Source organism: Homo sapiens, chromosome 7 (genome assembly GCF_000001405.40).
Source record: "Homo sapiens chromosome 7, GRCh38.p14 Primary Assembly".
NCBI lineage: Eukaryota > Metazoa > Chordata > Mammalia > Primates > Hominidae > Homo > Homo sapiens.
In genome coordinates, this window is record NC_000007.14 from 51173281 (window position 1) to 51195517 (window position 22237).

The following is a 22237-nucleotide window of genomic DNA, read 5'->3' on the forward strand; positions in this document are numbered from 1 at the left end:
AAGCATTCTCCTGCCTCAGCCTCCCGAGTAGCTGGGACTACAGGCACATGCCACCACACCAGGATAAATTTTTTTGTATTTTAGTAGAGGCAGGGTTTCACCTTGTTGCCCAGGCTGTTCTCAAACCCCTGAGCTCAGGCAATCTGCCCACCTCAGCCTCCAAAAGTGCTAGGATTACAGGTGTTGGCCACCGCTCCTGGCCCAAGGACTTCAGTTTTAATCACTGCCCAGCTAATTCATTGGGTGTACACAGAAAAATTTCACCAAATATCTCACTCCATATGATCCAGAAAAGAAAAATGGTAATATTTCTTTCTATTGTACCAAAATCATCTGGTGCAATTGGAAAATTCAATTTCTAGACCCCAACCTGGCCTCTCAAATGAGAATATTTGGGTACATGACCCAACAATCCAATGTTTAAACTAGGTCTCAAGGTGATTCTTAGGTACTTTTGAGAACTGCTGTGTTAGGAGAATAAATAATGTCAAGATGATATAAAACTATAATGCTTTTAAAACTTTAAAACACAAAAGCTTTAAAACAAAAAAGATATTTGCTATCCTTTATTTTAGCCAGTATCATATTCCTTTAAGTATATTTCCTATTAATATTTTATACACACATTCACACACATATGACACATACACATATACACACATACCTATAATTTTTTTTCCTTTAAGGTGATGTAGTAAAGAGTCACCTTAAGTTTTAAATGCCTCAATAATTCTCCATTCTTAGCATCTGTTCACTGAGACCTCTGCAGACTGACATCACAGGATTTTACAAATTATTTTAAAAAATTATTTGTTTCCAATCCTTTTTCTTGATAAAGAAATTGATACCACACCATACAATGTAAACCAGTGATTAATGGCAAGGACTTTGGAAAGACAGGCTTGGGTTTGAATTCTGGTGTTTATGAATTCCGGCATTTACCCGCACTATGCTCGGCTTGGAGCTGCTCAGCCTAAGTTTCTTCCCTGCAAAATGGAGCTGATAATGCCTCTCTCACCAGGTTTCTAGATAAACTAAATGAGGCTGCATTTAGCACGGTACCTCAAACCATAAAAATCAAGAGAAACAAGAAGCTAAAATTTAACACAAAACAATAACAAATTATCCAATAAAGATAAGACTGAAGAAGGGATGTCTAGAGAAAAATATAGTAAAATAAATGAGAAGGAAAGTGATAAATGAAAGATAAGGTATAGAGAAATGAAAAATAAGAGGCAGTGAAATGCACATCAGTCATGTCTCACTCTACCCTTGAACCAAATGGTGACTTCTTGAGGCCATCTGCTATGTGGGCTCCAGTCTAACTGATGCCAAGGAGCCATAAAATGCCACACACTGGACACCATAACTCCTACCCTATAGCCCAACAAGGGATAGCCAATCACTAACCAATGTCATCTCTGTAAACCAGTGACAATTCCTGTGGAACAACTTTGTATCAGCCCACTCCTTGTCCCCCTTTGCCTTTAAAAACCTTCTTATAACCATGGCTGAATCTCTCCAAGGCAACCTGAAAGTGTGTCCTAGGCAGTGAGGCTCACCTTTTGCCCAACAAACTCTCTACATTAATCTTGCCTCAGTTTCTTTTTTTAGGCCGACATATCTGGTCTAAGTCGGCAGCATTCAGAGTGCTCCTCACAACAGCACCCAGCGTTTTCTCTCAGACCCAGCTCTTGGTACCAGCAACATATTGGGTCCCCAGCTCCAGAGGATCCCGGGGTGCAAAGGGTGAGACCTCCTGAATCCGGACCACCCTATGATTTTCACCTGGGCTGCCCTTTCCACTGCTCCCTTTCTGGAATGGAGGTTCTATCTTTGCCTTGCAGGCAAGTGATTCAGGCATCAGTGATTAAAGAGGAAAACTACCTTTTCCACCTTGGAGCAGGTAGGTCAAGGTATTGGCAGTTTTGCACTGCTGATATCACTTTACATAGCACGCTTTTAAAACTGCAGCTGCTTTCTACTGTTTATAATTTGGACTTTAAAAAATTTGTGACCAATTCCTATTAGTTTTATACCAAAAGGTGCATGAACGTGAGTTCTCTCACCCCCATATTAAGAGATTTGAGAATTTTTTTAGAGACCGCTCCTTAAACCCCCAGAAAAACTCTTTAAATGCCTAAACTGCCTGCAGACCTTTCTCAGTCCCTTGGAGATGTAAATCTTACCATGTCTTGGAAATGTTAACATGCATTGTATTAGCTAAGCAGCATTCCAGCTGAGAACAGGTTTGATACATCGTTAATGTTCTTGGGACATACCACAACATTTATTTCCTCAGTGGGTATCTCTTGCTCAGGAAAGAAACATTTATAAGAAATTAATTTGAATTATTTGTCTCGGATACTCATTTATAATCCTATCTACTGAAGGAAACCAAAATATTCCTCTCCTAAGTACTGGTGATTGGTAGCTGAAGAAGGTTAACATCCAGGGAGACACTGCCCCTTCCTCTGGCTTGCCTGATGGCAGAGAGGCAATTTAGAAAGACAAAGGTTTTCCTGCCTGCCATTCTCACCTAAAGATAGGCTCCATTATAAGACTTGCTTATGGGCTCAGAGACAGCAGTGCCAGGGAATCTAGGTGCAGTCTTTATTCATCCCATAAATTTACCTTCCCACGTTTTCCTGCCTTTTGGCACTACCCCCACGGGCAGCTTTTGTTTTCCTGTCTTTCCCACTGTCTCTTTAAATCCTCAGTCTGGACCTTGTATACAGACGGTCAGCTGAGAAGCTGAGACCCTAGGGAATACGCTAGACAGGACAGATGGGGCTTGTACCCCATTTGCAGCTAGCAAAACCTTCCTTATTTTGAAGTTTTTCTGGTGGCTCTGGGTCTTGTGAGGACTGTGTTGCACCTCTTTGGAGATACTTGGCAAGTCTCTGGTTAAATCATAACCTTGGTTAAGTCGTGTTAGTTTTGGTGAGTCACTTGGAAAGGTACCTTTGGTTTAAAAGAGGAAAAAATTAAAAAATACAAAAGCAAGGATATTGGCTGATTTGTCCTGGCTAAAATCTGATAAGAGACTGAAAAGATTCAGGAGCTCTCTAGTCAAAAGGTAACTTAATGAATAACTGATATTTGGGATATATATGTATACACACACAGACACACACACACACACACACATATATGCACCCATATTTTTTGAGTCCTCTGTTCTCTCTATAAAAGTTTCTCAGTTGATTGAATCTCTTTCTTCTTAAACCCCTGCTAACCAAATATACTCCCTTGGTCTGCTTCCCTTTTGAGGACATGATTTTTGCCAAAGATAATGTAAAATTCATTGGTATTTACAAAAGCTTAAATTCTCTCTCTGCTTTGAAATGTAAATTTGCTACCTTGTTAAATTTTGTGAGGGCTTTAGGCATATGAGACAGATAAACTTTAACTTGTTCCATTTACAAAGGCACAGTTTGAATCCAAATGTCCTTTTGAACTAGTGAATTTCACCTGACTCGTGGCTAAAATCTTAAAATCAAAGCTATGAAATCTTTATTTTTGTCTATGTTTGTATGTATACATGTGTACACGTCTGTGTTTGTATATTGTCTACATGGTACCAAACTGACTTATAAGTAAATCAGTTCTCATAAATTTAGTAAATAAGCCCAAATGCTTTTCAAGTTCATGTGACTTCAGTAATCTTTGGTAAATGAGGCTAGTTTTAAAATTGTTGGTAAAATAAAATAGAAATATTTTCAGAATTTAATTTAGAGATTTTTGCCTGGGTCTACTAGTCAAATAGGTTTAGCCTATTTCTGGTAGGTGTTTAAGGTCATAAAACTGTTGCTTCTGTGATATTGTTGATACCTGTTTGATTCTGGGGTATAGACAAGTGGCCACGGGAAGGCCTGGGGACACGTGGATGTCTGCAGCACCTAGGCCAAGAGCTGTGGGGCAGAGCTACGCTACATGTCTTCCCTGGCTCACTTGTGCCTCCTGAAAATGCTGGGAGGGGTTGGTTCTCCAGGCATTGCTTTCATAACTCTGTCCTTTTTTCTGGGCTCTGTATCAAGATACATAATTAAAATTGCTTACTTCTTAAGACTTTTCACAAATATTTGGGATACTAAGAGTTAACATTGAAATTAATATATGTAATTAAATCTACTAGATAAAAGAGAAACAATTTGTATCCAAAGAGCACAAGAAAAGTAAAATGCATTTTTGGTTTTAAAGAAGATTATAGCCAGGTGCAGTGGCTCACGCCTGTAATCCCAGCACTCTGGGGGGCTGAGGCGGGCAGATCACCTGAGGTCAGGAGTTCGAGACCAGCCTGGCTGACATGTGAAACCCCACCTCTACTAAAAATACAAAAATTAGCCAGCCATGGTAGCAGGCGCCTGTGATCCCAGCTACTTGAGAGGCTGAGGCAGGAGAATCACTTGAACCCAGGAGGCAGAGGTTGCAGTGAGCTGAGATCATGCCACTGCACTCCAGTCTGGGCGACAGAGAGGACTCTGTCTCAAAAAAATAAATAAATAAATAAATAAATAAATAAATAAATAAATAAAAATTTAAAAGGTTATAAAAAAGACATAAAAATATAGTTTTTGTTGGCCGGGCACGGTGGCTCATGCCTGTAATCCCAGCACTTTGAGAGGTTGAGGTGGGTGGATCACATGAGAGTCAGGAGTTTGAGACGAGCCTGGCCAATATGGTGAAACCCGGTCTCTACTAAAAATACAAAAATTAGCTGGGCATGGTGGTTCGTGCCTGTCATCTCAGCTACTGCGGAGGCTGGAGCAGGAGAATCACTTGAATCTGGGATATGGAGGTTGCAGTGAGCCAAGATCATGCCATTGCATTCCAGGCTGGGCAACAAGAGTGAAACACACTCTCTCACTCTCTGTCTCTCTCTCTCCCTCTCTCTCTCTATATATATATATATACATGTGGTTTTATGTGGTTTTTGCTAAAGGAACAACAATTTTGCATGGCTTAAAGGTTATTTAAAAGCTGTTTTAAATTAATGAAATACAAAAATGATAGATAAAACTAAATGGGTATAGGAAGTTAGAAAAAAATGAAAAATATTGCAAAAGGTTATAAAAGATTTATAGAAAACTTATCTGTGTGGTCAAAGCTGAATGAGGTTGGATGGATTTGTTTATAAGGTTTTATTAAAATTAGGTTTATTGGTAATAATACATTAATACAAAGGCAAAACTTGTTTTTCTCTTTTGAACAGGGTTTTCATATAGTATTGATAAAAAATAATAAAAGGTTTTATTTACCTTTTGAATAAGCTGCAATAAAAAAAGAAGAGAGAGGAAGACACACTCACCGTGTCTTTATTAGGTCTGAAAACTGAGTCTCTCTTCTTTTTTTTTGAGACAGTCTCGCTCTGTTGCCCAGGCTGGATATGATCTTGGCTCACTGCAACCTCCGCCCCCTGGGTTCAACCTAGTCTCCTGCCTCAGTTTCCCGAGTAGCTGGGAATACAGGTGCCTGCCACCATGCCCGGCTAATTTTTGTATTTTTAGTAGAGACGGGGTTTCTCCAAGCTGGTCAGGCTGGTCTCCAACTCCCGACCTCAGGCGATCCACCCGCCTTGGCCTCCCAAAGTGCTGGGATTACAGGCATGACCTACTGTGCCCAGCCAAGTCTCCTCTTAATCAAAGAGTAAATGTTTTTGCTTTTTGAAATCTTTGAAAAAAATCACTTTGACTAAATGAATATTATTTTACTGTGATCTCATTTTGAAATCAAGTGTTTCAAGCCTTTGACATTTGACAAACTTCCTAAAATGAAACTTCAAATTCTAATGAGTCTTTCTCACATTGAACTAACTTTTGGAGATTAGGGCTCCTGGAAATCCAAACAGGGACCCTGGAACTCCAAAAGCGGCATATTAGGCATATTTGGTATGTGAAAATCATACTGGAAGCATTGTTAAATAAGAGTGTTTAACTTTCTTTTTTGTTTGTTTGGTTGGTTGGTTTTTTTGGGGACAGAGTCTTGCTCTTTCACCCAGGCTGGAGTGCAGTGGCACAATCTTGGCTCGCTGCAACCTTCGCCTCCCAGGTTCAAGCAATTTTTGTATTTTAGTATTTTGTATTTTTGTATTTAGTACTCCTCAGTAGAGATGGGGTTTCACCATGTTGGCCAGGCTGGTCTCAAACTCCTGACCTCAGGTGATCCACCTGCCTCGGCCTCCCAAAGTGCTGGGAATACAGGTGTGAGCCACCGCGCCCAGCCAAGAGATGGTGCTTAACTTTCTTCAGGTTATTTTTATATGAATATGCTATTAATATGCATTCTATAATTATAAAAGATACCGAAAAATTTGATGTGTCTTGACATAAACAGTAAATTGCTTTATTCTGATGCTCTCTTTTCCTAAAAGTTCTTTGTAAATGCCAAAGCATTGTATCTTCAAGGAACCTTATGAAGAAGATCACAAAAAGCACTCTGAATACAAGTTTCTGATAATTTTGGAGATCATGCCGTTGAACAACGCAAAAAGAAAAAATCCAGTAATCTAATTTCAAACCTGATGAGTTCATAAAGATCGCTAACCCAACTTCAAGCAGAATAAAAGCTAAGTACATGGCACTGAAGTGACAGAGCACTGAAATGATTTTTGTGACTTCTTTTTGTTTGAAACACAGTAGGTTCTTTTCATGTTTTGTTTTCTAGCATCAAGAAAACTTTTCTTTTTGAGCTATTTATAGCTTACAGCAATTGGGTAAAGTACACTATGGTGGGCAAACTGAGACATTTATCTTTCATTCTACCTGATTTCTCCAAAATTCAGAAACTATTTGTATTTTCATTTTATGGCAATATACTTACTTGCATAAGTTCAACAAGGATCTGTTTTCTTTTTTAACAAGACACATTGAAAGCACTGGTTATTTTACAAGGCTTAGACTGGAATGACAGATTTTCAGATATGACCAGACTGGTTTGAAGGGCTGAAGTTGACTTTATAGCCAGTGGACTTAGAAAATGGCTGGCCCGGTTCCTTGTCGACATGGTTCCCTTACAAGGTTGCTGACCTTGCAGTAAGTAAAAGCATGTCACTTTCTGACAGGCCCAGTAATCTCAAGATATTTTGAGATCTCGAGAAGAAAGAAATTCACTGAATTCATACAGGTATTACCGGCACAGTTAGATGGTAAATCCTTAACTTGGCTTCCTAGCCACAAGAGGCTTTTAAAAATCTAATCTGAGATTCCTTAACCAAAAAGTTCCAGCAAAGCCAACTAAAATGAGTCAGTATGGCCACTCTTATTGCTGCATCTTATGCAAATAATCATGCCAAGTATAATAAGTGTAAAACTAATTTTACAAATAAACTGGTTCTACTATGATTTATCTTTGGTAAAACTGGAGGAACTGGAAAAATTATTTTTCAATAACCCACCTGTTATTCAGTTCTAGCAGACTATTGTTTTTGTGATATTATTATTTGCCCACAATTTGGACTGAATCCTGAATTACCTCCTGGCTACAAGTCTCTAAAGAAGAAGCAGGATGTAATGTTCTGCCTGATGTTTTCAGTTGTTCCCTAATGGAATTCAGGTTTGTTTGATCTGGCATATAAATTATCTTTCTGACTATAATCCAATCCTGTGTGCATTACGCTTTTACTGTTCAGATTATTAATACTATATATTGCTTGTGGTTTTATTTCTTCTGAGAAAACTAAAATGGTATTCCAAAGACTAGAGATGATTCAACAAGCAACAGCAGCTAATAAATTTCTGACGTGACTGAGGTTTCATTCTTGCCACTCTGTAATGCCATCCTAATTTGGCTTTGGGGTTCCCTTAAAATTCCTCACTAAAACATCTTTTCTTTCCTCCCTAACATGGGACAGGGCTATCTGAGAATCACCCTTCCCAGTGACAAGGGACCCCTTGACACTCAGCGTTTAATCATCAATGCTTTCAAGAAGAAATATTTTGTATCAAAAGAGGGAAATGAAATAAATACACTTTTTATCCACAGAATGTGAGCTCCTTTTAATTATCAGGCCCAGGGAAGCATTGAAATGCAGTGGTGGTCATGTCCCACACCCGCCTGAGCTAAATAATTAGCTCTTAAAGCCAATTGCTACTTGAGCTGTAACACTGAGTGAATTTTTTGCCAAGTAGCTACAAAATGCCATACACTGGATGCCATAACTCATCTGCCGCAGTTCAGGAGTGTACAGTCAATCACCAATCAGCGTTATTTCTGTAAACTAGTGAGAATCCTTGTCAAACAACTTTGTGTCAGCCACACCTTCTTCCTTTTTGCCCTAAAAAACCTTCTTGTAACTACGGCTGAATGGAGCATTCCCCAAGGCAAACGAAGTGTGTCCCAGGCTACAGTCCTCAACCTTGGCCCAGATAAACTATCTATATTAATTTTGAGTCAGTTTCTTTCTTTAGGTTGACAATGGTGAAAAACAGCCCCTTGCAATCCACAGAGAGGACTCGATCACTGACTGCGCCTTCACTGCTGTGTCGACAATGGTGAAAAACAGAAAGTCCCTTGCAATCCACGAACGGGACTGGATCACTGACTGCGCCTTCACTGCTGTATCGAAATGGTGAAAGACAGAAAGTCCCTTGCAATCCACGGACGGGACTGGATCACTGACTGCGCCTTCACTGCTGTGTTGCCAGATGTGGTGTCTCCCCACACCCTGAACTATCAGAAGCTGAGTCAGTCTCCACATCTCCAGCTTTTTAGGTGACCTTACTTTGCTAAAAACGAAAGTCTTTCTAGATTTTTTACTTGGTTTTTCTGGCCATTTCATCTTTTACAAGGAAGAAGACACAAAGAGAACAACTACTTGAGGTCTAAGGGTGAGGAATGAGGAATGAGGAATGGTGGATTTTACTGTGAACTGGTGTCCTCAGGATCAAGGAGGACAAGGGTGAACACAGTCCCAGCCAACTTATCTCAAAAACGTCAGGAAAAAAAAACCAACAAGACAACATTCAAAGAGTGAGCAAAAATTCAAATACAAAATTCTGATTCTCTTTTTTTTTTTTTTGAGATGGAGTCTCGCTCTGTCGCCCAGGCTGGAGTGCGCTAGCATGTTCTCATCTCACTGCAACCTCTGCCTCCCGGATTCAAGCGATTCTCCTGCCTCAGCCTCTCAAGTAGCTGGGGTTACAGGTACCTGCCACCACACCTGGCTACTTTTTGTATTTTTAGCAGAGACGGGGTTTCACTGCATTGGCCAGGCTGGTCTCGAACTCCTGACCTCAGGTGACCTGCCCACCTCAGCCTCCCAAAGTGCTGGGATTACAGTTGTGAGCCACCGCGCCCGGCCACAAAATTCTGCTTCTGTGATTTCAAGTAATTCTGACAGGAAAGGAAGCTAGGAGAGGAGGAGGGAGAGTAGGGGGGAAGAGAGGGGGAGAGGAAGGGATAGTTGGAGAGTGGGAGGGGATAGAAAATGTCAGGGAGCCAAAGGTCTTACATAGACATGCATGGAGTACAGATTTTTCAAAGGACATGCAGAAACATGGAGAAAAGCACAACATGGGGAAAAGCTCAATCTCTTAAGTACAAGAGAATCACAAAACCATTACCGAAGCTTCAGCAGAGGTGAATCTGAGGTTTGTGAAAAACTCTTAAAGACAGGAAGTCTGCCAGTTCGGCCGAGCTCCACTGGACCTTCTGTTCTCATCTGGCTCTCACTCTCCTCCTCCCTTCCCAAACACCACAGGGCTACAGGGACGTGCTGGCTCTGCACGCAGACACATCTGTGTCTAAGCCTGGGACACTAAGAAGGTTACTTTATTTCTCTGAGCCCTGGTATCCTCATCAGCAAACCTGGGTAAACCACAATTCTAACAGCAGAGGCTGCACCACAGGCCACTGAAGGGCAGGAAATCAGGTGTCCGGCCTTGGGCTACATGCACCTATCTGCACCATGGCACTGAGAAGGTCTGCACACAAACTTGAGTCCCCAGTCTTCACATCTCTTGTAGAAATATACAGATGGAGCACACTTCCAAACTGAGCTAGTGGAATTAAAACCTAACATTCACTGGAACAGTTTTGTCTTTTTTAGTCTTACTTATTAGTAAGGATAAAATACTAGATATTAGTAAAATATACTTGTGAAGCAAATATAAATACGGATAATGAGCATTTTCTTTTCTTGGTAGTCAGAAGGCATTTATGGGTTTGATAATCTTATAATTAATTATAAAAATCTTCATTTTTATTCTGGGTACTATGACTTAATTACTCTAGAATACTGTATCCAAAATATGACTCTGAGATGTGTTTCATAAACACCAACAAAATCAATAAAATTAACTTATCACATAGTACATTCCCAGATCATATCAGGAGGACCAAAGAACATCTAAAAATTACTAGCAAGAAGACAAGTTCAATGACTGATACTCTTCTCTGCCACGAGGCATAAGCTACAGTTCACTGATAGCAATATTGGCTATTTACACTTAACTATAACATCCATTCACTCATTCATTAATCTAAACAAGATTTACTGAGTTTCAGCCACAGGCAGAGTTCTGTGGAAGTACCGGAACACCCACAGGCAGAAGGGCTCATGGCCCCGGTCATCAGGAGCCCACAGGCTTCCTGTCCCCCTAGTGAATAAACCACCATCACCCAAGATTACTCCTTTTGGAATCAAGTGTGGAAGCACAGCCTGTCATTCCAGTGCATACTAATAAGCTCTCTTTTACCTGAAGGAATTAGTATTCTTAAATAGAATTGTTTAGAAAAGTTCCAGGACAGGTTGAATGCATGTATTTCAAGAGACTATTTTTTTTACATGATACAAAATCATATGTGTATTTAATCCATTACCTTACTATTGCTTCTTTTATTAACTTTGAAAAATCCCAGAAATTTTTTCTTCTCTTTATCTGTCTCATCATTGCCAAGTGATGATTTCCTAAAGGTTTCTGGAAAAAAAAAGCACTAAGTTATTTTTCAGCATCTGAAACAAGAGATTCAATACTTTACTTAAAAAATCTTAATAAATGAATCCTCTACTCTTAAACTTTTAGTTCTTGTAAGAGAGGGAAAGCCATCAACTATTTCTTTCAAAGCTGTCCGAGCCACTTCAAGTCCTCAGGTCCATTTGGGAAATCACTACAGGTTCTTACACAGTCTTTTAGGAATGATGGAGGCATTTTCTCTGGGTGTGGTTGTGCCCTTTTGGAGAATGACAAAATAAATAAAGTTCTAGGGCAGAGCTGTCCAACAGAAAGCTAAACCAGACCACACATGTAATTTTACATTTCCTAGTGGCTACATTAAAAAGAACCAAGTAAAATTAATTGTAATAATTTCATTTAATCCAATACATCTAAAATATTGTCATTCTATCATGCAGTCCATATAAAAAGTATTGATGAGATATTTTACATTGGTTTTGGTGCTAAGTCTTCACAATCCAGCAGCCCTTTAGGCTTACAGCATATCAGTGTGGACTCGGTACATGCAAGAGCCACATGAGGCCTGTGGCTGCCAAATCAGCACAGCTCTAAGACTGCGACATCAGTGCAATACACCTGCTTTAAGAATTATGAGTGAGGTACAAACTTTAACTAAATGAAATAAATCAGCAGCTTTCCTGCTCATTTCCAGAAAATGGAGTAACAGCTATGGGCTCCCCAGGTGGTATTTGAAACAACTGCATCAAATCTCCCAGGAACCACCTTTCCAGATTTTCCTTCCTCTGCTGCATCCAGAACGTTTTCCTTTCAAATTACATTCTCTAGGGGAGCAATTGTTTTCTTCTTTCTTTTTCCTGAAGCTCTAAATCCTCAACCCCTCTTGAATTTTTCTTCATCAGGATTCTAGAGCCAGGTTGGAACCTTCCAAATTCCAGACAAGCACACTGAAGCCCAGATGTGTCTGTCAGCTGACAAGACAGCCATGGGATGTGGTTCCCAAAGCGAGATGGAACCTGCAGCATCAGCATCGCTGGGAACTTATGAGAGATGCGAATGCTTGGGCCCACTCCAGACCCCCAGAATAAGAAACGCTGGGTGCAGGGCCCAGCACTACACAGTCAAACTAGCCCCTAAGGAGGCTTAAGCTGAGGGTCTGGAGAACACGCTTGGGAGTGGTGCTGAGAGATTAAGAGCGCCCATGTGTGAGGCACACTTCGGAAAACCACTTAGCTCCTCCAAGCCTCAGCAGCTTCATCTGCAGGTTGAGGGTGAGTGCATCAAGCACGCAGACGGCACTCACACAGCTCAGCACACTGCTCACTAGTGTCATGATTTGCTCAGGAAAGGCCTTTGTCATTACTTCATTCCATTCTTCTCTGCCAGGGCATACAGATATGACAAGAAGAAGGAAAGTGGAGGTGTTCCTGGAGGATAGAAAAATGATTTTTCCCATATCACTGCCAACTGATAGCAAGAGCTCTATACCATTGGTGGCAGAATCATGGACTGGGATTTTACAAATTCTGCCATCAGACTATTAATGCAAACAAGGTAACCCTCAATTAACTTCTTGACCTGCTAATATATGATTTCACATTTGAGTTAGAGAACACACACAGCAGTCAGTGCATTAATAACACAGGCGTGAACACTGATAGCGTCCACACAGCAAAGCAAAAACCCAGCACACACGCTCCTGATATCACGCTGTAGGAGCAAAGGTGCACATCCTAGCCACCAGGGCAGGGCCAGGACACTTGGTTACATGCAGGAGGCTCCAGTGGAGGCACTGAGCAGGCTCCACATCGCACAGTACCCAAATCAGAGGGCCCACTGCAACATGGTGCAGCAGCACCAATGCATGTGTGCAAACGCGCTGTAAAGTTAGTTGCAGCAAGCCCTCTATTAGGTACAGAGCTATAAAGAGGAAAACAGAGCACACAGTTAAGACTGCATCTAAACTATTATATGCTTTAATATGTATGTTTATAACCAAGGATGTTTCTAGAATTGAGTGGTATGTGACATGGACCAACGGATGCTCACGAACTGACGATGGGGTTACACTTTCAGTTCACGACGGCTTTATCCAGATGTGACCCCATCGTAAGTCCAGGAGCATATTGAATGCATAGCACTTTCACACCATGGTAAAGTTGAAAAATCTTAAGTTGAGAAATTGTCTATGTTGAAACAGATGACATCATAGTATCCTACTGATAATCGAGAAGTAGAGCATTTTCCTAGTACACAAGCTGTATTACACCGACCACAGAAAGGACAGACTGCATCAGAAAACTGCAATGAGATCTAGCCTGTTGTTTCTCTTCTTGAATGAGGACAGTGGCTGATCATCACCTCTAAGGACTGAGGTCGGCTCCCTGACGAAGGGTCCAGGACAGCCCCGGCACCAGAATGCCCCTCAATAGTGGGAGAGACACTTTCTCATGCAGCTACAGCCTGCAGCTGTCTGGAGGCACCAGGGGCCTGTGACTCACAGTGCTGAGCTGCGCCTAACACTGATGGTCTATTTTTAGAGGTGAGGCTTTGGTCTCAGTCACTGACTGATAGGGGCCTCCTATGAGGCCTCTAGAGGCTTGGCAGACACTGAAGAAGAACTGGTTTGGGAGCAAAGTAGGAGAACTCAGTGTTCCCATCAGCCAAAATTTCCAGAGGCTGCCCAGCTATAAAGCAGAGCAACAATGAACAACTGATGCATAGCCAGCCCTCGAACACACGCAAGTGAGCTCTAGAACCCATGGTGCCTATGGTATGATAAGCTGAGGGTGGCATTTATTTTGTTTGAATTTACTCTAATTTACACGTAATTAAATATTAAGAAAAGTGTGGGAACTCACACAGTCTGCAAGAAAGTTTTACTTTCTGAAGCATTACAATGATTTGAAAAATGTTAAAGATGAATTGCAGAGTGGCAGAGAAGGATGAAGGACCCTTAAAGACCAACGAGTCCAAACCACTCACTTGTCTAGAGGAGGAGACTCAGTGACCAGAACAAGGCCATAAGGAGTAAATGGAAGCGGGGGACCAGGTCAACATCTGCAAATGTACAATGGGCATTCTACATATGTATATACATATATGTATATGTTTAAGTATATATATATATATATATATACACACACACACACACACACACACATATATCTATATCTGCCTATATATACATATAAACATCTCTTTCTGTATAGAAATATCTCTATGAAACTTAAATAGATGTTGGAATAAATGCAAAATCTGGACTAATCATTTGCATACTTGTCTATGACAGAAAAGGTTAAATTTTAAAATCCATACTGTCCCAAATTCTGTAGCATGCAGGATGGCCTTCAGGGGCAGGTAAGCATGGGCAGGCAGAGGTGAAAAGGAAAGGGTGCCTTTCCTGCGCACACCACTTCTGATCTGCCCTGAATTATTGGGCAACAGAATTTGTTTTCTGTAACAGCCTCCCTCATTTCTCATCAATTAGAGCCACACAGCAAATTCTCCTAAGAAGCATTCTTATCTGAACCAACCAGGGAATCAAGAAACCAAACCAAAATCTCATGTCAGCCTCGCATGCACCTTCAGGAGGGCCCCAAGCCAAACTTCCATTCCTTGGAGTCTGGCACAAAAACATCACCTCTGTGCAGCTCTGACCCCAGAGCCATGCATAGTGCAGCCTCACAGCGGGAGCGGGAAGCCCCAGGTTCACTGTACCTTGACAGCTCAGGGAAGGCTCGGACTGAGTTTTGCTCAGACGAACTGGAAAAGGCAGGCAATGAGAGAGTGAGGTCCAGCTTTGAGATGTGTGGGAGTCCCTGACCCAGGCCTTGGCCCTCACAAGCCTCAGAGGGGGGCTGTCCTGCTGCAGCAGTGAGAAGGTCTCTTGCTGGGTCAGCTTGCCTCTCTGGGCTGGCCCTCTCAGGGCCACAGCTGCATAGCCTGCTAAGCACCGCTGAGGACGCAGGTGGCAGCAGAGCCCTTGGCTTTATCAAGATGCTCCCACCGGGGATTCCAGGGGAGGGCAGGCCTCTGCGTAGCAATGCCTCACCTCCTGCCAGCTGCCCTTCTGTTCTCCAGCAGTGGTAGGGCTCAGGAGTGGACGTCTGTCCCCTCCAAGTGCCTACCAAGAGGATTGAAAGTAAGGGCTCCTCCAGCAGTACCCAGCAGGCCTGCCCAGGGCGGTTGTAGGGGAGAAAGGGAGCCTCGGAGATGGCCTCTGGACAAGTGTCTTTTCTTTTCGAATATTTGACAGTGAGCAGGAGGCAGGCATTTGGCAGGGACGGTAATCAAATGTCACAGCTGGCATGGCACAGGCATGGTCCAGACGAAAGGGGTGCTGGCCACAAGGCTGGAGCAGAGCCCCCATGGTGGGGAAGCTCGTGGTGCCTTGGGGGTGGGGTGGAAAGGGCCAAAATGTCCAAAGGAGTAGAGAGGGGGACTTGGAGGTTTGGGAGCAGCTAGTTCCAACCAAGGGCAGAAGTGCTTCCAAATCTGAACGGCCAAGCTGACCGCACCGGCTTGTTCTGCTCTGTCCCATATGAGGATCAGAAGAGATGCTCTGGGCCCCTGACCACATGAACACTTCAGCTCCTACATTCCCAATGACCATGGGCTATCCTGGGTCCTCTCCTTCACAGACAGGCAGGTTTTATATCACTTCTCCCAAGTGCCAGGTTCAACATCTACCTTTCAAGATACATCCAAGTGGTAGCATGTAACAGAAACACTTGTAAGCCTTTTTATTTCAGATACCTGAACGTGAAACAGTTTTCCCTTTATTTTTCTTTTTATCTTAACAAATGGAAGCTGTTTCCAAAGAGTCATGTAAACCAAATTTAAATAGTGCTGATATACTCAGTGCCACCAGGCCTTTGCAGCAATACTGAGACTATTTCTGTCTGTGTTTTAAAAAAGACACTGGATAAAACACAAGATGCATTATTCTCAAATGTCAGAGTACTTTTTTTGAAGAAATAAACAGTCCATGTATCTTATACTCAACTGAGCCAAAACCCTCTCTTGAATGTCAAATCAGATCTAGATGCCAGATACCCAGGAAGACAAGGGCGGACTTGGCGGGGAGAGGAAGGCTGGACAGAGATTCCACTATGATCATGGATTTCACAATAAACTTGGTATTAAGAAAAAATATGGCCAGGCGCAGTGGCTCAGGCCTGTAATCCCAGCATTTTGGGAGGCCAAGGCAGGCGGATCACCTGAGGTCAGGAGTTCGAGACCAGCCTGGCCAACGTGGTGAAACCCCGTCTCTACTAAAAACACAAAAATTAGCCGGGCATGGTGGGAGGTGCCTGTAATCCCAGCTACTCAGGAGGCTGAGGCAGGAGAATCACTTGAACCTGGGAGGTGGAGGTTGCAGTGAGCCGATATTGCACCATTGCACTACAGCCTGGGCTATAAGAGTGAAATTCCATCTCAAAAAATAAAAAAAAGAGAAAAAATACATTTTTGTTGGAAAAAATTAGAAAAAAAAGTCATAGAAAAACAGGAAAAACTTGAATATGTATATATTTTTTAAACTCAACCTATTCAATATTTGTGGAATAATGAAACAGAGACAACAGACATCAAATGAGGCTTATTAGAAGAGAAACTTTTACGAAGTCCATTTTGATCATTCTAAGGTCAAGGAATATAACATTTCCTTTGGCCTGACAGTAGCAGTTAGCACTCTATATCAATCAGAAACATGTGCTTACACAACATAACAGTCTCTGCACCAGCAAGGCCTCTGGGCTGCCACTCTCACCAGTGGCTCTAACTGTGGCCTCATACTAAAAGCCAGTTTCACATGATGAGCAAGCAGGATGACACTGGCAACACAGTGAGGAGGCCTAAGGTGGCCCTAAAGTTATCTTCAGGAATGGATCTCACGCACTGTAATTGTTCAGTTTTAGAGAACAGCTAAATGAATTTCTGCCACTGGTTTTAGACATGAGCAATGTTTGAAACCTGGGAACAGCAGTTAATGGCAACTGAAAAAGAAAATCAAGATAATTTTTTTTTTAAAGAGACAGGGTCTCACTCTGTCACCTAGGCTGAGGGCAATGGTGCAATCATAGCTCAGTGCAGCTTCAACCTCCTGGGTTCAACCAATCCTCCAGCCTCAGCCTCTCCAGTAGATGGGACTACAGGAATGGGGATGCACCACCACGTCTGGCTAATTTTAAAATTTTTTTGTAGAGACGGGGTCTCACTATTTTGTCCAGGCTGGTCTTGAACTCCTGAGCTCAAGCCATTCTCCTGCCTCAGCCTCTCAAAGTGCCAGGATTACAAGTGTGAGCCACCAACCCACAAGAAAGTATTATAGATGGTTTGGAGTAGTTACTTCAGAGCATAAGCTCTAATCTCACCTCACCTTTTCCCCTTTTACTTATGTCGTGGAAGTTTGCAGGGAGACAAAGGATAAAGGACATGTTCAGGGCTGGGAGAAAGGAGGCACAGCTCAATCCAGAGGAATGAAAACAGGCCAGATTTCTTTTTTGCCTACTTCAACTTGACTTGCCTGGAACTTCATGTACCCATCTCTCCCTGGCGCTACTGAGAGTGCTGGGGAGAGCCAACAGGGGACATGTACACGCCGCGCATCCGTGTGATTATGGGCAGGTGCGTGAGACGCAGCGGGGCCTCACCTCTTCTGTTGTCCCACGCGTAGAGCTCCTTTATCCCGAGCTCGTTCAGGGACTTGGACAGCTCCAGCTCCTCTCCGGCAATGTTGTCCCTGAGGAGAACCACGTGCTCTGGGCTGACCTCACACTTTGCACAAATGACTGGGAGAATATTCTGGAGAGGAACCTCAGGGCTCACACGCACAACAGCTTTTTGTGTCCGCAGGTAATTCACGACCAAACGCACAGATTTCTGGAAGAACACACAGGCAAAAAGAATTCAGTAAGATATCCTCCCACAAGCCTTCAACTCTTGTGTCAATTTGACAATTGGGTGTGGCAGGATTGTGTGTAGCCTGAATCCTTCTTCCACAAATTGAGTGAGTAATGGGGGAAAACAGCATAATGAATATTGAAAAACAAATGTCTAGAATAATAAATCTGGTTTAGAATCTCTTGCTAGTGAACAAGCTGCTAACAACACAGCGAAATAAACATCAGGGAAGACTCTACATTTAAAATCCAACACATATACTTTACTGTCTTCCAAGGGTTCTGGCCAGATGTGAACACATGGCACTTATATGCATTTTCTAAAAAAAAAAGTTTGGAAGCAGTATGAATAATTTAAAGAAAAACCCTCCAAAAACATGACATCAAAGTTTTAAGGAGTCAAAATATCCACATAAATACAGGAATATCTATATATGTACATAGATATATATATATATAAATACATATATACTGTATATATGTACTATATACACACATATATGAAACATATACAGTGTGTACACAGACCTACATGTATTTATGTATACACACTACACACACGTATTTAAGCTATAAATATATTTTAAAAAACACCAGGCATATATAATAATCAGGAAGAAAAACACTCAGTTGACTAATGCTAATTCTAAATGACTGCAGATAAAGTGGTAGTCATTTTTCTCCCACTTTTTGATTATTTTTCTTCCGCTTTTACTGATCACTCTAATTGTGCTAAGACACTGTAGAGCTGGACACAGTAAATGTAGATTGAACAAAAGAGCAGCAAAGGAAGGCCTCACGCTCTCTTCCAGCCTGCGTACCAGGGCCCAGTGGCTGGGATAACAATGCATTTTGGGAGAAAAGACGGAACCTACTGCTCCTTTACTGGTCCTCTCCTGCCCTAACAAGTGGAATCATGCAGATGCCTGGGCTCACCTGCCCTGAGAAGCAGGAAGTCAAGGGAAGACGCAAGGTATATACAGAGATGCTCTGCCTCAAACACTGTTTACTTGAGGAATAAGGGGAAATCTCTGGTCAGAGTGTTCCAGATAACAGTGAGAATGCACTAACCAATCAATCCTAGAAATTAATAGGAGATTAATGTTGGCTGCATTACCATTTTTAAAAGCAGGAAAATTTAGAAGGTCTGCTAAGAATATGAAAGTAACATTGCTTTTAATTTTAGCTAAAAGATTAATATCAAAGCCTTATTTAAAAGTACAATAAAGCTGGGTATGGTGGTTCAGGCCTGTAATCCCAGCACTTTGGGAGGCTGAGGTGGGTGGATCACCTGAGGTCAGGAGTTCAAGACCAGACTGGCCAACATGGTGAAACCTTGTCTCTACTAAATACACAAATTAGCCGGGTGTGGTGGCATGCACCTGTAGTCCCAGCTACTCAGGAGGCTGAGGCAGAAGAACTGCTTGAACCTGGGAGGCAGAGGTAGCAGTGAGCCAAGATCACACCACTGCATTCCAGCCTGGGCAACAAGAGTGAAGCTCCGTCTCAAAACAACAACAACAAAAACAATAAAAGTATATAATAAGCTACTAGAATTAATTTTAATTAATAAACAAAAGCCTGGAATATAGCTATGTATATAAGATATTCTCCAAATGCAATGAATAAATATTTCTGACATCAGTTTTTCAAAAAAGTTTTTTTCCCTTTCTTTTCTCTTCCTCTGGGAAGATGTTTAAATCTTCTATGGATACCAACTGCTTCCTGAGTCAGGAAGAATTCTAGAACTACACTGTCCAATCAGGTAGCCATTAGCTAGTGGCAATTTAAATTTAAAGTTAAAATTAAATTAAAAATTCAGTTTCTCAATCATACCTGCCACATTTCAAGTGTTCAAAAGCTGTGTCAATTAAAATGAAAAAAGAAAAATCTACATGAATATTTTAGATATTTAAGTTATAATAAACATACCAAATTTTTAAAAAAGCTGCATGCAGCCAGTGGCTATCATATAAGAAAGTACAGAATTAAAGACCATGCCCCTCTTTGAATGAAGGTCTAATGGATAGCTCCACTGTAGATCAATTCCTCTTCTATAATATATAAAGAAGCAATGTTACAACAATAAACATTATTCAATTGTGTACATTTTGTCTCCTAAAACAAACTCTGTTTAGTGCCTAGCTTTGCCTGGCATGAAAGTAGCAGCCTCAGCCACAGCTCTCTGCACTGTACTTTGATAAGAAGAGCCACACTGGCCCCTACTCAGGACCTGCCACACATTCAGACACAGGTATTTCCATGTAGGTACCTACTAACCTCAGGCACCTTAGGGGGACCAGGCTTAACCTTCTCTTCAGGAACTTTTTCTTTCAGAAACACAGTATGCACATTCAGGGTCCCAATCAAAGTATTTGGCTTAAAACTCAAAGGTTGTTGGGTTTCTGAAGACCGAATTTCAAGGGCATGGTGGGATGGATTCAGGTGGTTCTGAAGGCAAAGTTCAACCAGTAGGTCCATCATCGCATGGCTGAAAAAAGGAAAACAAATCATGATTATTAGGAATGACTGCACTCTCTCTTTTGCCTGGCTAAATAAGGGTAGAACAAATGAACAAGTGGATGAATGAGCAAATTAGATATGCTTATGAAAAAAGACAACAGAAGCTCATTAATTCCTTCTGCATGGTTGTAGAGCAATATGTTAACATTTTCAGCACTAACAAACAACACTATTGAAAGAGAAAAATCATAATTAATAGCTTGGAAAATAGTTATATTTTTAGTTAAATCCAAGGGTATGTTGAGTTGGATCATCTAAGGTCTGTTAGCACAAATATTTTTCATGCATACAAGACACTAAATTTTCAGTTATTCAGAAATATAATGTATCTTTTTGATTTAACTTTTAAGTTCAGGGGTACATGTGCAGGTTTGTTACACAGCTAAACTTGTGTCATGGGGGCTTGTTGTACAGCTTATTTTATCAACCAGGTATTAATCCTAGTACCCATTAGTTATTTTTTCTGATCCTTTCCCTCCTCCCACCCTCCATCCTCTGAGAGACTCCAGTGTTTGTTGTTGTTCCCCTCTATGTGTCCATGTGTTGACATCATTTAGCTCCCACCTATAAGTGAGAACATGCAGTATTTGGTTCTCTGTTGTTGCATTAGTTTGCTAAGGATAATGACCTCTAGCTCCATCCATGTTTTTACAAAGGACATGATCTTGTTCTTTTTTTTAATGGATGCATAGTAGTCCATGGTGTATCTGTACTACATTTTCTTTATCCAACATACTATTGATGGGTCTTTAGGTTGATTCCATGTCTTTGCTATTGTGAATAGTGCTGCAATGAACATACACATGCATGTGTCTTTATGACAGAATGATTTATATTCCTTTGGGTATACACCCAGTAATGGGATTGCTGGGTTGAATGGTAGTTCTGCTTTTAGGTCTTGGAGGAATTGCCACACTGTCTCTTCCACAATGGTTGAACTAATTTACAATCCCATCAACAGTGTATAAGTGTTCCTTTTTCTCTGCAACCTTACCAGCATCTGTTGGTTTTTGACTTTTTCATGATAGCCCTTCTGACTGGTGTAAGATGGTATCTCATTGCGGTTTTGATTTGCATTTCTCTAATGATCACTGATGTTGAGCTTTTTTTCATGTTTGTTGGCCTCATGTGTGTCTTCTTTTGAAAAGTGTCTGTTCATGTCCTTTGCCCACTTTTTCTTTTTTATTATTATACTTTAAGTTTTAGGGTACATGTGCACAACGTGCAGGTTTTTAATGGGTTTTGTTTTTTTTTCTTGTAAATTTGTTTAAGTTCCTTTTAGATGCTGGATATTAGACCTTTGTCAGATGCATAGTTGGAAAACATTTTCTCCTATTTTGTAGGTTATCTGTTTACTCTGTTGATAGTTTCTTTTGCTGTGCAGAAGCTCTGTAGTTTAATTAGATTCCATTTGTCAGGTTTTGCTTTTGTTGCAATTGGTTTCGGAGTCTTCGTCATAAAATTTTGACTGTTCCTATGTCCAGAATGGTATTGCCTAGGTTGTCTTCCAGGGTTTTTATAGTTTAGGTTTTAAATTTAAGTCTTTAATCCATCTTGAGTTATCTTTTGTACATGGTATGTGGAAGGGGTCTAGTTTCAATCTTCTGCATATGGCTAGCCAGTTCTCCCAGCACCATTTATTGAATAGGGAGTTATTTCCCCATTGCTTGTTTTTGTCAGCTTCATCAAAGATCAGATAGTTGTAGGTGTGTGATCTTATTTTTGGGTTCTCCATTCTGTTCCATTGCCCTATGTGTCTGTTTTTGTATAAATAGCATGCTGTTTGGTTACTGTAGCCCTATAGTATAGTTTTAAGTCAAGTAGCATGATGCCTCCAGCTTTGTTCTTTTGCTTAGGATGGCCTTGGCTATTTGGGTTTGTTTTTTGGTTCTTTGT

The 22237-nt window shown here is 41.3% G+C and overlaps 1 protein-coding gene across 23 annotated transcripts in view, besides 5 other annotated features; it reads right to left on the reverse strand.

The window, feature by feature from the left end:
• COBL (cordon-bleu WH2 repeat protein) overlaps positions 1 to 22237 on the reverse strand; it is a 300598-nt gene that overhangs the window by 157069 nt on the left and 121292 nt on the right. For 14 of the 23 annotated variants that reach the window (NM_001346443.2, NM_001346442.2, NM_015198.5 and 11 more), the window contains exons 3-5: positions 20099 to 20309; positions 17570 to 17798; positions 10822 to 10919 (exon numbers count right to left, since the gene is read on the reverse strand). In NM_001346443.2, the coding sequence (NP_001333372.1) occupies positions 10822 to 10919; positions 17570 to 17798; positions 20099 to 20309 (538 nt within the window). Of the gene's footprint in view, positions 1 to 10821; positions 10920 to 14633; positions 14679 to 17569; positions 17799 to 20098; positions 20310 to 22237 lie in introns of those variants that run through there. The other 9 variants (XM_017011898.1, XM_047420078.1, XM_005271750.1 and 6 more) reach the window with 2 other exon arrangements.
• Positions 1812 to 2427: an enhancer, noted in NCBI's record as "OCT4-NANOG-H3K27ac hESC enhancer chr7:51242789-51243404 (GRCh37/hg19 assembly coordinates)". NCBI's record gives its function as "activates a minimal SCP1, AML or CMV promoter by ChIP-STARR-seq in naive H9 embryonic stem cells {active_cell/tissue: H9 hESC(naive)}" and the evidence as "EXISTENCE:reporter gene assay evidence [ECO:0000049][PMID:30033119]".
• Positions 2428 to 3043: an enhancer, noted in NCBI's record as "OCT4-NANOG-H3K27ac hESC enhancer chr7:51243405-51244020 (GRCh37/hg19 assembly coordinates)". NCBI's record gives its function as "activates a minimal SCP1, AML or CMV promoter by ChIP-STARR-seq in naive H9 embryonic stem cells {active_cell/tissue: H9 hESC(naive)}" and the evidence as "EXISTENCE:reporter gene assay evidence [ECO:0000049][PMID:30033119]".
• Positions 3044 to 3659: an enhancer, noted in NCBI's record as "NANOG-H3K27ac hESC enhancer chr7:51244021-51244636 (GRCh37/hg19 assembly coordinates)". NCBI's record gives its function as "activates a minimal SCP1, AML or CMV promoter by ChIP-STARR-seq in naive H9 embryonic stem cells {active_cell/tissue: H9 hESC(naive)}" and the evidence as "EXISTENCE:reporter gene assay evidence [ECO:0000049][PMID:30033119]".
• Positions 14488 to 15094: an enhancer, noted in NCBI's record as "H3K27ac-H3K4me1 hESC enhancer chr7:51255465-51256071 (GRCh37/hg19 assembly coordinates)". NCBI's record gives its function as "activates a minimal SCP1, AML or CMV promoter by ChIP-STARR-seq in primed H9 embryonic stem cells {active_cell/tissue: H9 hESC(primed)}" and the evidence as "EXISTENCE:reporter gene assay evidence [ECO:0000049][PMID:30033119]".
• Positions 15095 to 15700: an enhancer, noted in NCBI's record as "H3K27ac-H3K4me1 hESC enhancer chr7:51256072-51256677 (GRCh37/hg19 assembly coordinates)". NCBI's record gives its function as "activates a minimal SCP1, AML or CMV promoter by ChIP-STARR-seq in primed H9 embryonic stem cells {active_cell/tissue: H9 hESC(primed)}" and the evidence as "EXISTENCE:reporter gene assay evidence [ECO:0000049][PMID:30033119]".